Here is a 16,737-nt window from a genome sequence, read left to right on the forward strand (position 1 = left end):
GGTCCCTCCCACAACACTTGGGATTATAGAAAGTACAATTCAAGATGAGATTTGGGTGGGAAGACAGCCAAACAATATCATCATCTTTTGGCACCTAAAGTTTTTTTTTAAATATTGGAGATCTAACGTGCAGTATGCTGACTATACTGTACGTTAATATAATGTATTATGTATAATACTTGACATTTACTAAGACTGCTGCCCCTAGCTTTCTAATGCTTTGCTGAATTACCTCTCCTGTAGCCTCACCAGATTGTTAACTCAATCTATGCTGACCCACTCCGCAGTGATCTGAAATTCACTCTCTCACTGAGCAATCCAGGCCAAATTCCAACAGTTTTACCTTATAAGGTGCTTCTTTTCTATTGAAAATTTCCTCCGTATTTTATTAAAGCTCCATTAAAAGCAACCATCTATGAATTGACAAGAATCACTTTCATCCTTCATTTCAGCCTTCTCAATATTTCACATGGCCATATTGGGCTACTCTGGCTGCCACTTCTTCCCACAGGATACCACTGATATGGCTGACATTGACATTGTACCTGCTTTCCCAGCTGTCCTAGGGTGATAATACAGCAGCCTCAAATCTGGGCACAGAACTACACATCTGCATGCTGGTGGCCTGCTTCAAGAGAAAGCATCACTTTACATTCCAAAGCCCTCAAAAATCAAGGTTCTATTTCTTAATGGAAAAGCTACTAATGAGTAAGCTTTGGGTTCTCAAGGGATCTTATTTGATGAGACTGTTGACTTTCAACATCTATATTTATCTTACCAACAAAATTAATGTACATTGCTAAAAGCATTAATTGCCAATTAACAGGGCTTAACATGTTAAGATAAAATATTTCTCAAAAGTTTATTGCCAGATAATCACAGTGTAACCTGTGTCAGTACTTTATTCTCAAAGATGCTCAAGTTCAATATGGTGAAACTTATAATCTGAAAAATTTTTTTTGAGGTTTCTAAGAGTTGGGTCAAAAAATATAACACTTTTTTATAGTGTGAAAATTTTATATTTTCTAATTTGCCACTTTTTTCTTTCATGATTATTACTCAGAAAAAAATTTATTGTTTCTCTAAGATAAAATATTGGCATATTTTAGGACAGCCATTATTTAAGCCATAATAATACAATCAAAATAGGGAATATTGGAGTGTATTTATAGGCCCATAAGTAACCATAACTAAATTAAACTATTGGCATATTGCCAGGTGCCACGATTAGAGGAAATTTTAATTAAAAACTCAATATGTGTGGATTTTTTGCTTAACTCATTTTCTACATGAATAATTCCCTTAAATTTCATATTTAAGCATGAACTAAGTTCCTTAAACTTTTCAAAATGCCAGTATTTGTAAAGAGACTGCATTTCAGCCACAAAATACTCTATTATACAACCATAACCAATATTGTTTTCAATGTGCATAGACCTCTTTTTCCCTATATTTCTTGTTATTTGTTACTGGTTGCTACTTTCGACTGTTGCTAAGAAAACCTTTGCTTAGAAAACACAGAATATCTTGTAGAAGGAATTGTAACACCCAAATCACCTTCTCTTTCAGAGTTCAATGCTGTAGAATTTCTCTGAGAGCTTAAAATTTTCCAAAATGGGATCCTTATGCAGGGAGGTCAGTAATGCCTCTTCCTTCCACTCCCAAGGAAGGGGAATCATCAAGATCCAGGGGCCAGTTACAGCCTCATTTTATACAGGTTGGGGCTGCACAGCTCTTTTCTCCAGACACCCTAGCACTGTTGGCAACCCCCGGCTGTCTGAGGGGCTGTGACTCTGAACTGTAGAGCTGTGACATCTGGGATTTCATGCCCACAGTGCTGTGCATCAAACTTTGCTGAGTCTAAACTTTTTTTTTTTGTTTCAAAATTTAATTTTACTTTATTAAAAACACATATTCTTTCAACTTCACACAATACAGAGGTGTAACATTTTTAGAAAGTTAATAGCGTTCTTCAGGTCCTTGAATCCCATATCCCTCAGGTAGCTAAAGTTAACGGGATGGGTGAGGAAAGACGTTTTCTCTTCCTTTCCCTTCCTACCCACCTCAAAAACTACTGACTGGCCAGCAGAGATCTTATCTCAGCAAGTATCAGATACTGTCTGCATCCCTACAGTGATTATTCTTTTCAACAGCAGTTTCTTCCAGCAGCAACACATTTCTCCAGTTCTTTTCTCTCAAGTATTGTCCTCTGAAGGACTTTTGAGTTTCACCAATGTTGTCTCTCCTGGGTGTGCTCTGAGAAGCTCTGACAGTGGGCTGGAGGGTGGGTGGAAATGTTCCCTGCTCATTTTCTTCCTGTAAGAAGTAAGTCTCTAGCTAATGGCTTGGCCAGGAGTCCTTTATATTCATAAGGTGGCAGGCCTGAGTGCCTACTCCAATGAATAGGTAGGAACAATCAGACTGAAATACTGGAGTCCAGAACCTATGGAGGGCTATTTTCCCAGCCAAGCTGGCCCTAATAGGAAGAGGATATTCTCCCAGAGTGAAGTTGAAAGCGTAAAGATATCAATCAGATTATTAAAGCAAATAGGATCTTATATTTACCTCAAGCTGGTACAATGGACATGCATTAACGAGAGCATCTCCGAACTCTACTTTGGTACCACAACAAAGGTACAATTTTTTGGCAGACAGTTCACTGAAAAGAAAATATAAAAAGCAAAATATGCAAGTAAAATAAGGTGAAAAGGGGTACAGGCTTAGAATCAGAAGGATCAATTCCAAAAAAAGGATACAGGCTTAGAATCAGAAGGACCCAGTTCAATTATACTGACTATTCAGGATGAGATTTGGGCAAATCACTTAAACTCACTATAGCTCAGATTTGAGGTCAATAAAATGTGAATGGAAGTAACTACCTTGAAAAGTTTTTATGCTGTCTAAATGAGATATTCAGTTCTTAAAAATGTCTTATCTCTTTAGTCTTATCTCTTTTCCAATTATACTGTTTCCTAAAATAATTAGCATGCCTTTTTTTTTTTTTTTTGAGACAGAGTCTCACTGTGTCGCCCAGGCTAGAGTGCAATGGCACAGTCTTGGCTCACTGAAACCTCTGCCTCCTGGGTTACAGCAATTCTCCTGCCTCAGCCTCCTGAGTAGCTGGGATTTCAGGTGCGTACCACCACGCCCCATTAATTTTTGTATTTTTAGTAGAGACCGGGTTTCACCATGTTGACCAGGCTAGTTTCAAACTCCTGACCTTAGGTAATCTGCCCGCCTTGGCCTCTTAAAGTGCGAGGTGGCATGCGCCACCACACCCGGCCAGCATACCATTTTTTTTTAACATTGTATAGTGACATGAAGCTGGTGTCATTAAGGAGAAACAAAGCAATAGTGACATCACATTTATAATAACATTTAATACTAGATGCTTGACAATCAATTTCTGAATTTTATCAGCAAAGTTGGAGTCAGAATTACCTGGCTCCACCACCTCTTATATTTATCAGTGAAGGCCTTAACTCTTTCCTTGATCAAAATTTAATCACAGTCTGAAGGAATATTGTACAGATTGAACTTCATACTAAAAGTACCCAGTGCATTAAGCCAATGAGATGCAAACCTTATAAAATTCCATTAAAATAAAAGTACTCATAAAATCAAGAAACCATTGGTGAGCCAACCATTGGTGGTGTGAAAACACCACCATGGAGAAGTCAAACTTATTTTCAGGGAAGAAATTGAAATTTACACACAGAATTGGGGATTTCAGACTTCATCTCAGAGTTGGTCTGCCTCAGAGGAAAATTTGTCATATGCTCATTCACCTGAAGAAAAATCTGTGCCTTCCTTACTTAGCAAGGCAGAAGGAACTTAACTAAGGTCAACTTAATTAAGTGTAACTCTTAATTCTATAAGTTCAACAAGTGGTAAGAACCATAGAGATATGCCAAGACCATTTCCTGGAGAGCTCAACCGGCATGAGGCTCTCCAGTCACACCCATATGTGCACCCACATGAACTCATGCCCAAGTCAGGAAAAGTGCCTATTGTCTGGCCTGGTGGTCTTATATGTGGCTATAAGGGAAAAGATGGTTAGAAAAGAAAAAGAAACAGTCTGACAAATAATTGCTGTATTATGCTTCTAAAAAGGATCCTTAATATAAGACAAAAAAAGGGAACTCGAAGTTTGTACTTATGTAGTTGGGGTTTTGTTTGGTTGTTTGGTTTGGTTGGTTGGTTTTAATTCAATGTCTCAGGTAAAACTGACATACCAACAGAAAATAAGGTCAGTAGCACGGGAGACTGAAATTAAATGTGTGTGTGTGTACAGCCATGAATGTGCTGCTTTCTTCTGTTAGACCCTTGATCGTCACCCCCAACACCATGTTCAGTTAAGGATCCTGGCACCTAAATTTGTATTTGCACAGCCTTCAAAAGGTATTTCTTTATTATGCTTCTCTTTTAGGGGATGATATCTAAAATATTAATAGTGTAAAAAAAATAGGCATAAAATTAAAAATGATAATGTCTCTCTGTAATAAAAAATACTTGCCTTATCCCTGAGTTTTTTTTAATAATTCCCATTTTTAATTATTTGTCATAGCTGGCTTATCATTTAGGAATTTTAGCCAAAATAAAACCTATTTAACTAAATTTTCCAATAAAACCCTATGTTATAAAAATTATTTACACACCAGAATTTTTTGACATGACTGTTCTGTTCTGTGAAAATCATTTTGCCAGGTTATTCCAGTCTCTAGTTTGTTCGCCGCTATGTAACCAGCAACTAGTAAAGTGCCTAGCATGGAGTTTTCTTCAACTAAATGAATAAATAAATGTATGAGGGTTCACGACAGTAACCAAAGTATATGCTCTAGGTTTGGACTCTCACTCCCAGGATTGTGGAAACTCTCCCCTTGACATATTTCAGAAGTCTCCTACGGCTTCTCACATGAGTGTCCATATTGCTCTGCCTTCCTTCCTGTTACAATAGAAGAACTGTTGATGCTCCCAGTGAAGACCAACCTTGACCCTTCTGCTCTAGATCCCATTGTCTCTGACCTTGCTCTCCTGCATCAATAAGTTTGCTCTCTTGATTGGGTAATTCCTATCGTATATAATAACAACATACTGTAAGTTTTCTCGTCTAAATGAATAAAAAATAAATACTTCTAACTGCTTTCTTAACTTCTATTGCTCCATTTCTCCGAATAGAAAAATTCTTTGCGTGGTCTGTCTGTCACTGATTGAGGGCTACAATAGACCCACCTCCTATTATCTTCTCCCCACCCCTTCCCACGCCTGCTGACACTACTGCATGACTTCCTTAACCCTAGGAATAGAGAGGTCATTCCTAATGTGTGAAAAGTTCTACCTCTCTTTCCTTCTCTCTCATGCTTTATGTGTCGTGCTCTGCTGTTAGTACAACCATGAGCTACTTCTACTCCAGAGGCTGACTCTTTGGCCCCCCAGGTTCCTAAGCAACTGACCTGTTGATGATCTGGTCCCCTGCTCTTTACCCTGGGCTCTCCTTCCACTGCCCATCTCTCTTTACTTTGTGTGAACTCCAGCAGTACCCCCCACAAAGTGTGAATATCCCCCTCACACTGCACTCTGCTCAAACAGCCTTATCATGTGCTCCATATATCTAAAATATTTGGGTGAAATTGATATTGTTTTGCTTACATATTTTTCTTTATAGCTTTGTAAAATGTTTTTTTTTTTAGGGAATAGACAAATCTGAAGTATAATCTGTTTAGCCCACACTGTTGAATTAAAAATTATTGTTGCTTCCCTTTTACATTGGCTCGTCCTTCTTGCATCAAGCTTATATATCATGTTTTTCCTGAAGATTTACCTTCACAAGAGTAGACCTGACCTTTATGGACATAGACCTCAGGGCCTCCCCTATATGTGCTTAAACACATGTAATTTTCAGGTTATTCATGGGCTGAGCTTGAAGACTATATGTTCCTGTTCATACATGTCTTAGAATTGTCAAACAAATGTTAATACATCTCACTGAACAAAAAAAGTGAAATTATAATTTTTGTGAAGTATCTAGTGTTATTTCCATGACTTAAGAGTAAAAAGATCAAATGGAAAAAAAATGAAGGAAGAAAGAGAAATGAGGGTAATCCAATGTTAATCATTTCCTGTCATCCCAACATCCTACAAAGTCACACCCTGTCTAGTTCCTTAGCATCAGAGTCATCAGAGGGCCAATGTTTCTCAAAATTTTCTAGATTTCCTTTCATGTATTACATAAGGTCTCTTACAGGCCTTTAATATTATATTAAATTCAAAATTAATCAAATGTCATGAATAAAGATAAATCAAAACAATGAAATGAACAATCACTTTATTTTCAAACTATTATCTATCGGCATGACCTGAGACTATTGTGGACATCAGCTGTCCATCATTGTATCTGAGTCTGCGTAGCAGAGCATTGTCCTTTTCTGAGCTTCTCTACATTCTGTGTATGCACAACAACCAGAAAGAGAGATACTTATAGGTTGGGAGTGAGGAAAGCTATAGGAGTTCATGTTTTAGTAGATAGAGCACGATAGAGACAGAGTAGCCAAACAGTAGTATTGACCATAATACCAAATAGATACAGAGGAATGGGTGTCAAAGAACATTCATGCATTTTTATTTGCAGGCTTAGTGTGAGGGCAATGTGATGTCACATGATGATGTGGTCATGGTGCTATAGTGAGAACAACGCGATGACGGCACAAGCCTTGAGCACATCCCTTCCCTGCTTTTCAGGGAATTCACCAGGCACGCCAGGTATATGAAGTCTGCTCTCTCATAACTCACAAACCACTGCCAATACTGCAGGGCTTTACCCCAAATGGGTCCTATTCATCTACGCACCCTGCCTCATTTCACCTGTCCTGGGTAAAATCTTGTCCTCTGAGAGAGTTTTACCCAGGAAAGGTGAAGAGATGTTTGCTGACAGAGTTGTTTGCTTTAGAAATAAAATCTAAATAAAATAAGACATTTTAAATAACATGTAGAAGCAGGAGCAGAGTAGGTATGATTCAAAATAAATACTAAATGATTAATTGGACAAGACACACAGTAACAAATGAAGTGAGAAAGCATTACAGTGATGGAAATATTAGACCAATAAATTCTGTAGAGTGAATCATCATATCACGTAAAGTGAATACAATCACTGATGTAGCAGGATAAGGAACTATTACATTGCACTGATATTAGATCAAATCTCGGCTCTGCCAATTATTTTAACTTTAGACATGCAATTTTGCCTTTTCGTACCAATGTTTTTCATCTTAAATTAAACTAATTCCTACTTTGTATAGTGTTGCATGTTTAAGTAAGGTGATATATTTGAAAGCACCAGACAGATTCAAACTACAATCACTGTTGTTGCTGTCGCTGTTGTTCATTTCACTTTTACTATTTATATCCAATTATCATATTCCAGAACCCGAAACAAATATTGAAGGCAGTTTCCAAAGTAACCACATATGCTAGTTGCACAACTCTGTGAGTATACTAAAAATTACTGAATTGTACACTTTAAATAGGTGAATTGTGTGATATGCATATCACAATAAAGCTGTTGTATACATACATGCATGAATTACACATTTACATGCCCATACACACACATATACATACACTTCTATGTTTATAACTCAATTATCCAGAAGTAAACACTGAGGGATCCAGAAGCAGTCTCAATACCTTTTCAGCATGTTAATGATGAGATTTTCAGGAGCAAGAAGATCAACCTGGGTCATAAGGACAGGCTACAAGTTTGAAAGGAATTTATCCTCCAAATAAACTGAAGCAGCCACTATCCACATCAAGTCATAAAAACCATCTGTTCTCCCAGGCAGTTGTATAGCTCCTCTGCTCTGAAAATTGGGGAAAATGATGCTGCCAGTGAGGATTCATTTGTGCTATTGACATAAAAGGCTCTATGTAGATATAAAATATCATTACGTTATTACACGCGGCCCAAAGTCCTTATCACTGATATGTATAGTGTCAAAAGCAATTTTTCCCACCTTGCTGCTCAGTGAAAATTGAAAAAAAAATATGCTCTTATTATTATTATTATTGCTAATTTATTTGGAGGATGTCAAATTTCATCCTCAAGCTGATTTACATATTTAAGAGTGTGACTGATATTATGATACTGTATTGTCCTTAAGATTATTTTATAAATGAGAATATCGAATAGGCAGTTTGTATTTTGGTCTTACTGTTATAGATCATGATTTATTAAACAAATGTAAGTCATGTTATTTTCTTAGTTTTACAATCATGTCTTCCTCACATACTAGTATCTGCTAATTATGCTTCATAGAATACATGTCAGTTGTTGTAATTATGACTTACTCCTTCATTATTATGATCCATTCTTCTCACAATGTAGTCCACCTCTGGCAGCATTGAAGGGTCCTTGGAATGGTATCTGATTAAAGTTGAACCAATCTAGAACCTTTTTGCCAAGGTTTTTACTAGGTAGAAATGAAAAAGGGTGCTCAGTGAGGGTGGAAGCAATGAGATTTCCTGTTCAAGAATTCCCAATGTAGCATTTCCCACCCTATAGATGAAGCTGGCCTGCACAGTGATAAAGTAGATGCAACAAGCATGAAAAAACAAAGCTGTACGTGGAATGAGTCCTGGCCCAGCATGCACCTAGGTTCATGGGCCCCTAAAGGCAAATTTCATCATTATACTTCCCAGTGGCAGGCACCAATAATTTCTCACTTTTAAATTTTCCTTCATTTCAAGCACAAAAGTTGTGACTAATAACACTTAACAACACTTAAAAGATAATGCTCTTCACAATTGTAGTAATCCGAAATTTAGCATATATTTTTTAGAACTTGTCCTATATTTCAAAAAGATATCTGCATTCATGTGTTTATTGCAACATTAGTCACAACAGCAAAGATAGGGGACTAACTTAAGTGTTCACCCACAGTGGATTGGGTAAAGAAAATGTGATACATATGTATACAATGGAATACTATTCAGCCAAAATAAAGAATGAAATCTTGTTTTTTACAGCAACATGGATGGTATTATCTTAAGTGAAACAACTCAGAAACAGAAAGTCAAATACCACATGTTTTCACTTTAAGTAGGAACTAAATAATGTATACACATGAATCTAGTATATCCTCAAAGGGGTAGAATGGTCAGGGGGAATGAGGAATAAGGAATTACTTAATTGGTATAATGTAAACTATTTGGGTGATAGTTACACTAAAAGCCCAGATTTCACCACTATGCAATATATCCACGTAACAAAACTACATTTATGTTCCCTAAATTTATATAAATTATATATATATGTGTGTGTGTATAATTTACTTATATATGTATAATTTATTTATATATTATATACAACCTGTTATATATAGCATATATAATTATATATAATTTTATATAACATACATAATTTATTTTAATTAGAAAAAGATTTGTTTTAGGAAATTGGCTCCAATTATTGTGGAGGCTGGCAAGACTAAAATCTGTGGGCAGATTTTATGGCAGGACGGGAACCTGGAAACTCAGGCAAAATTTCATGATGAAGTCTGGAAGCTGAATTCCTTCCTCTCCAGGAAAGCTCAGTCTTTGCTCTTAAGGCCTTCCATTGATTGTCTGATGCCCATCATATTATGAAGAATAGTCAACTTAAAGTCAATTGATTGCAAATGTTAACATCTATAAAATATACTCACAGCAACACTGAGATTAGTGTTTTATTAAATAATCCCATACTCTAGCCTAACCAAGTTGATACATAAGACTAATCATCACATCGTCCTTATTCTACAAACGTCTAACAACGTAGATGACAACTTCTAAGTATCTTGTAAGATACCTTGTCTTCTAACTTGAGGAAACAAAGCACGTTCACTGAGTGAAAACTCTAGAGCTTAAAATTTAGCCTCAGGGTTTTGAAGCTAATAATGAAGCACTCATATAATATTCCTGCAATGTATAAAGTCAGCAGAACCCCTGAAGTGATTACAACTCTGTAGGCACAAAAGGACCATCAATTACTATTCTAGATATAAATATTAAATATTTACCCAGTAACAGGTAAAAGTTTCCGGGTAAAGTTGTGAATGTACTGTTTTGCTGTTGATCATTATACATAAAAGCATAAACATTGCAGCTGAAATAACAATAGCTAGGTCAGCACCTGCCAAAAAAAAAAGAGTTTTAGAGAGTAGACATTTATTTACTTAGTTCAGCTGCAATTCTTGGCAACATAGGAAAACGAATCTATTTTAAAATGGCATCTGATAAGTATTGAAGCATCACATGGGACAAGTCATTCACACTTTTCTCTCTAACATAGAAGTTCATCATGCATTTAGTATTTCCTTTCTTTAGAAATGAAGTATGCATGCTACTGGCCAAATAGTTACATAGTTTTTCTTTATATCTAGTTTTATTTGATCTGTAAAGTGAGTGATTCAGTAGATTAGTGCTGAATCAATAATTTAGCATAACAATCTTCAAAAAAAATTGCAGCAAGACAAGAAAAAGGAAATCAGATGATTAGTGAAGTGATGGATGTACTTGTTTAGGCCTTGGGCAAAATATTTTATATAAAATAGGTGAAGAAGAGTTGGAGGAAGACAAATCAGGCTTAAGTTCATGCTTTAACTCTTATGAGCTGTGCAATCTATGGAATATTTAAAACTAAGTTACTTCCTCTGTAAAATTAGGATAGCTATAGCAGCCTTGTACAATTGCTATAAATATGAAATCAAAAAGCACTTAGCACACTGCCTTGTGTAGACAAGTATTCAGTAAATGCACACTAATTATATAATCCTCTCTGGGTTTTAGCTTTTATCCTCTCTATAATTTAGCGAATTGGGCTAAATGACTCCCCTGGTACACTCCTCTTCCAAATTTATGCATTCTAATTTCTAGTGATAAATTCATTTGCACTGCGAATAGTCAATTCCATGAGGTTTACCGTGCCCTAACCACTCTTCAGAGAAGCCTTGGGATCAGTACCTAGCTACAATATTTACCTTGTGCCTGGCATTGTCTCATTAAAAAATACTGCTGTGGAAAACATTTGCTGTTTTATTTATAATAGCAAACAATGATCTTATCTGAATTAGTCTTCAGTCACATGAAAAACAGGGCTCTCTACTTTACTACTTTGTAAATGAATATGTCTGGACCCGGCTAGTCCTAATGTTAACCAATAACTTACACTGTCAAAATCATAGTGATTTTCAATTAACCACCAGTGTTTTCTTATAATTAATAGGACAGAGGCCAAAGTTAACCACTTGTTCATACAAATCAGGGATAAATAAGCCCGGCTCTTTGAAAATGACAAACATGTACAGCAGTTACCATGGTGATTCCACAGTTATGGTTACAGAAAATTGAAAAAATGGAACTAAGAAAGTCAAGTCACCATGATTCTACCTTAAATAAATTCCTAAATGTAATTCTGCAATTAGTTCCAATCTGGCAAAAGGATGAAGCCCCAGAATGTCATTTCCTAAAGATATTTTTAAATCATCAACTCCAATCCTCTCTAGCTCCGTTTTCTGAAATCCAGACATCTGTGATCTTCTTGCCCCTTGAGATGTAATAATAAGAGATTCCAACCTTTGATACCCTGTAGAAGACAATATCTTCCCACAGCCAATTGCCTGTATTTCCCTGATAATCCCTGGCTTTCTGTTTACTCATATGCTGTCCTGAAGTTTCACATGTCAAAACAGTCATGAACTTAAGAAAGAAAAAAAAATTAAATGCAGAAAGACTACAGGGCTTATAGTAAACCATTATCAAACAAATGTTCACATTATGGGAATTTCAGAAGGAAAAGAGATAGAAAAAGTCATAGAAAACCTATTAAAGTAATAGCTGAAAACTTCCCAAGTCTTATATATGGACATACAGTCCAGGAAGATCAAGGTCCTCAAATGAATTCAACCCAAAAATCTCCTTTCTGAGGCACATTATAGTCAAATTTTCAGAATTCAAAGACAGGGAGAGAATTCTAAAAACAACAAGAGAAAAGCATGAAGTCATATATAAAGTAGTCTCCATAAGACTAACAACAGTTTTCTCAGCAGAAGCCTTATAGGTCAAGAGAAAATGGCACGATATATTTAAAGTGCTAATAGAGAAATCCTTCTATCGAGAATATTATGTTCAGCAATGCTATCCTTCAGAAATGAAGAAATAAAGCCTTCTTCAGATAAGCAATAATTGAAGGAATCTGAAAGCACTAGACCATCCATAAAAGAAATGCTTACAAGAATCCTACATATGGAAGTGAAAGAATGATAACTAAGATCATGAAAACCCACAAAAATATAAAACTCAGTGACAGCAGACACATATATGAGAAAGAAAAGGGAAACAAATCTCGTCACTGCAGAAAACCAACAAACCACAAAGATAAATAAGGGAGAAAGAAAGGTACAAAGGATATACGATACAACCAGAAAACAACAAGCAAAATGATAAGAGTAGCAATTTTACTGATAATTTACTGAGAATAAAATAATAATTTTCAACGTAAACAGTTTAAATTCTCCAATTAAAATATGTGTACTGGCTTAATGAATAAAAAACAAGACCCAACTATATGCTGCCTACAACAAACTCACTTCACCTGTAAAGTCACACACATACTAAAAGTGAGGAGATGAAAAAGATGTTCCATGCAAATCAAAACCAAAAGCAAGCAGGAGTTGCTGTACTTGTATAAGACAAAAATAAAAAGACTTAAAGTCAAAAACAGTAAAAAGAGCCAAAGAAGGTCATTACATAATGATAAAGGGATCAATTCAGCAAGAGGATATAATACTTCTAAATATATATGCCTCCGACACTGTAACACAGATATAAAAAACAACTATTATTAGATAGAAAAAGAGATACAGATGCCAATACAATAATAGCTGAGGACTTTAACAACCCACTCTCAGCATTTAACAGGTCATCTAGATGAAAAATCAACCTGAAACATTAAACTTAAGCTGCACTACTGACCAAATGGAACTAACAACATCTATAGACCATTTTATCCAGCATCCACAGAATACACATCTTCTCTTCAGCAGATGAAACTTTCTTCAGAATAAGTCATACATTAAGCCATGAAACAAACTTCAACAAATTTTTTAAAATCAGATATCTTTTCAGACCACAGTGGAATAAAACTAAAAATTCATAATAAGAGGAACTTTCAAGACTGTACAAATACATGTAAATTCTATAGCACGCTCTTGAGTGAACAGAGGATTTTGAATGTTCCCAAAACAAAGAAATGATAAACATTTGAGGGGATGGACATGCTAATTACCCTAATATAATCATAACATTGTGTATACATGTATCAAAATAGCACTTTGTTCCCATAAATATGTATGACTATTATGGTACTTTTATGATGTTTCAACTGAAAATAAAATTTAAAAAGGACAGAAAAGAGAGAAAGCTGGACACAGCTACACACAAGAGGACAGAGAGTCATGTGAAGACAGACGCAGAGACTGGAGTTATGACTCCACAAGCAAAGGAATGCCAAGAATTGCTGGTAACCACTAGAAGCTGAAAGGCAAGGATTCTTTCCTAGAGCTTTTGGAGAGAGGCTGGTCATGTCAGCACTGGGAATTCAGTTTTCTTTCTAGCATACAGGATTGAGAGAATAAATTTATGTTGTTTCAGTCCATCCTAGTTTTTGGTACTTTGTTATAACAACCCTAGAAAATTAATATAGCCGTGGAAATACTTTTCTCTGTGGAAAACCTAGAAAATTAACATTCCATAGGAAAGTGTTTTGAACTACTGCCTTTCAGATTGATCTGCTGTGGCCCTTACATACTTTTACCACCCTTCAAAGCTAGATCAGTACATCCACACATACCTCTCCCTCCTCTGAACTCACTGTCCCATATCACTAAGCATTCACCCACTGCCTTGTAATATTCTTGAATTATTTTCTTTAAGTAAGTCTTATCTCTCTACTGCAATGCTAGCTTATATTGAATAATGTAATGCTTGGCTGAACTGCATATATATATATGTGTGTGTGTGTGTATATATATGTCCATATATATGTGTGTATATATATATAAGTCCATATATATGGACATATATATGTCCATATATATGTGTGTATATATATGTCCATGTATATATGTATATATATGTCCATATATATGGATATATATACACACATATATATATGGATGTATATATGTCCATATATATGGATATATATATATGGATATATATATATCCATGAATATATATATATCCATGGATATATATGGATATATATATGGATATGTATATATCCATGGATATCTATATGGATATATATATATCCATGGATATATATATATATGGATATATATATATCCATGGATAGATATATATGGATATATATGGATATATATATATCCATGGATATATATGGATATATATATATCCATGGATATATATGGATATATATATATCCATGGATATATATATATGGATATATATGGATATATACATATCCATAGATATATATGGATTATACATATCCATGGATATATATGGATAAATATATATCCATGGATATATATGGATAAATATATATCCATGGATATATATGGATGAATATATATCCATGGATATATATGGATGAATATATATCCATGGATATATATGGATATATATATATCCATGGATATATATGGATATATATGGATATATATACACATACATATATGGATGTATATATGTCCATATATATGTGTGTATATATGTCCATATATATGTGTGTATATATGTCCAGATATATGTGTGTATATATGTCCATATATATGTGTATATGTGTCCATATATATGTGTATATATGTCCACATATATGTGTATATATATGTCCATATATATGTGTATATATATGTCCATATATATGTGTGTATATATGTCCATATATATGTGTGTATATATGTCCATATATATGTGTGTATATATGTCCATATATATGTGTGTATATATGTCCATATATATGTGTGTATATATGTCCATATATGTGTGTATATATGTCCATATATATGTGTGTATATATGTCCATATATATGTGTATATATGTCCATATATACACACATATAGAGAGAGAGAATGTCAAGCATTACATTATAATATCACATATATTATCGATACATGTGATATGTGCTTAAATATGCTTATATCACATATATTATGTGCTTACATATCTGCACATATATACATAGCACTTATGTTTCATATATATCTTCATATCACATATATTATGTTCTTATATATGCAATAAGCACATAATAGATATATAGATATAGATAGATAGATCACAACCACAGCATTTTGCCCTGCTCCCACACTGTTCTTGTTCTTTCCATTTTAAATACCTGTCTCTCTTCTCTCATTTCCCATCCTCCACCCATTCATTTCCACATGTCCAAATCATACTCAATTTTCACAGTCCAATGGAATTTCCCCTAAAAGCCCTCAGCATTCCAGTCAGAAATATACTTTTCTATCTATGAAGTCACACACAGTTATTTCTTTCCTTGTTACAGCACTTTTTATCTTGCTTACCTAATCTGGATAAAGAGATAATATTTGCTAATTTTTTGGAATTTTATTTTGCCCAGTGGAGTGTGCAGACAGGGCACAAAAGCAGATTCTCCTTGATTAGAAAGGAAATTTATAGGCACTGTAGAAGAGAATATTGAAAGTGAAGACCTGGCACTTACGTAGCTAAAAAGAAAAACTTCAGAAAGAAGATAAATGGCTTACTAGAGGCTTTTTCATGTGCCATGTGAATGTCTTCTCCATCTCCTCAAGGAAACTTTAAAAAATGACACTAATTACCAATAACTTTGGAAATGTTTTGTGGTGAGAAGCAAGATGAATGCCACAAAAAGCAGATCAGACTTTAAGATGGACAAGAAGTAAAAGATAAAGCTACCAGCAGTGCTGAGATGACAGGTATTATTCTTGTCTGTTTCCTTTTTAAACCCTAAACTACTAGAGATAGGAGAGTTTCTGCAGGAACTTTGGATCCCTCACATTTCCTAGGCATGATCTTTTGCACATAATACAATAGCACACATTTGTTGAGTGCTTTCACGTGCTAGATACTATAAATGTAATTTGTTTCTGTGACACATGAGATGTTTCTAAAGAACCAAGGCAATTTAAGTGAATCACCCAAGTTTTATAAATGCTAAGTGGCAGAAAGAGGATTTCAACCTACGCAATTTGACACCAAAGCTTATGATTTAACCATCCAGCCACATTTAGGCCCTAGTATGTAAGCAGTTGCTGAATGAATGAAATAAGTAATATTCAGTGCTTACTAAATACCTGTTGATGGGTTAATAGTTAGGATTCATTCCTGGCCTCTTGATGTAAAATCATAGAGAAAGACTAGATATTCCCTTCCAGAATACTTTCATGGCAGAGATAGTGTGTTAGTCAGAAATCCCCAGAGATCCTATTCAGGTCCTAGTATTTGTCTTCCCTGCTGGTATTTCTATTTTCAGCCTCAACAAATAGACCATTTGTGCACTCAGGTTGCCACAAACAAGAGGACATAATAAGCAGTTAAAATGTATAATGATCTCACGCCCAGCATAAGCCAAAATTCTGAAGAAAATTCAGATTCATGGATACTAGCAGAACCAGCCAAGTGAATAATTTGTCTATTTGATGCAAAGGCAGAATAGTAGGGGGTGAGCTCTA

Source organism: Homo sapiens, chromosome 10 (assembly GCF_000001405.40).
Source record: "Homo sapiens chromosome 10, GRCh38.p14 Primary Assembly".
NCBI lineage: Eukaryota > Metazoa > Chordata > Mammalia > Primates > Hominidae > Homo > Homo sapiens.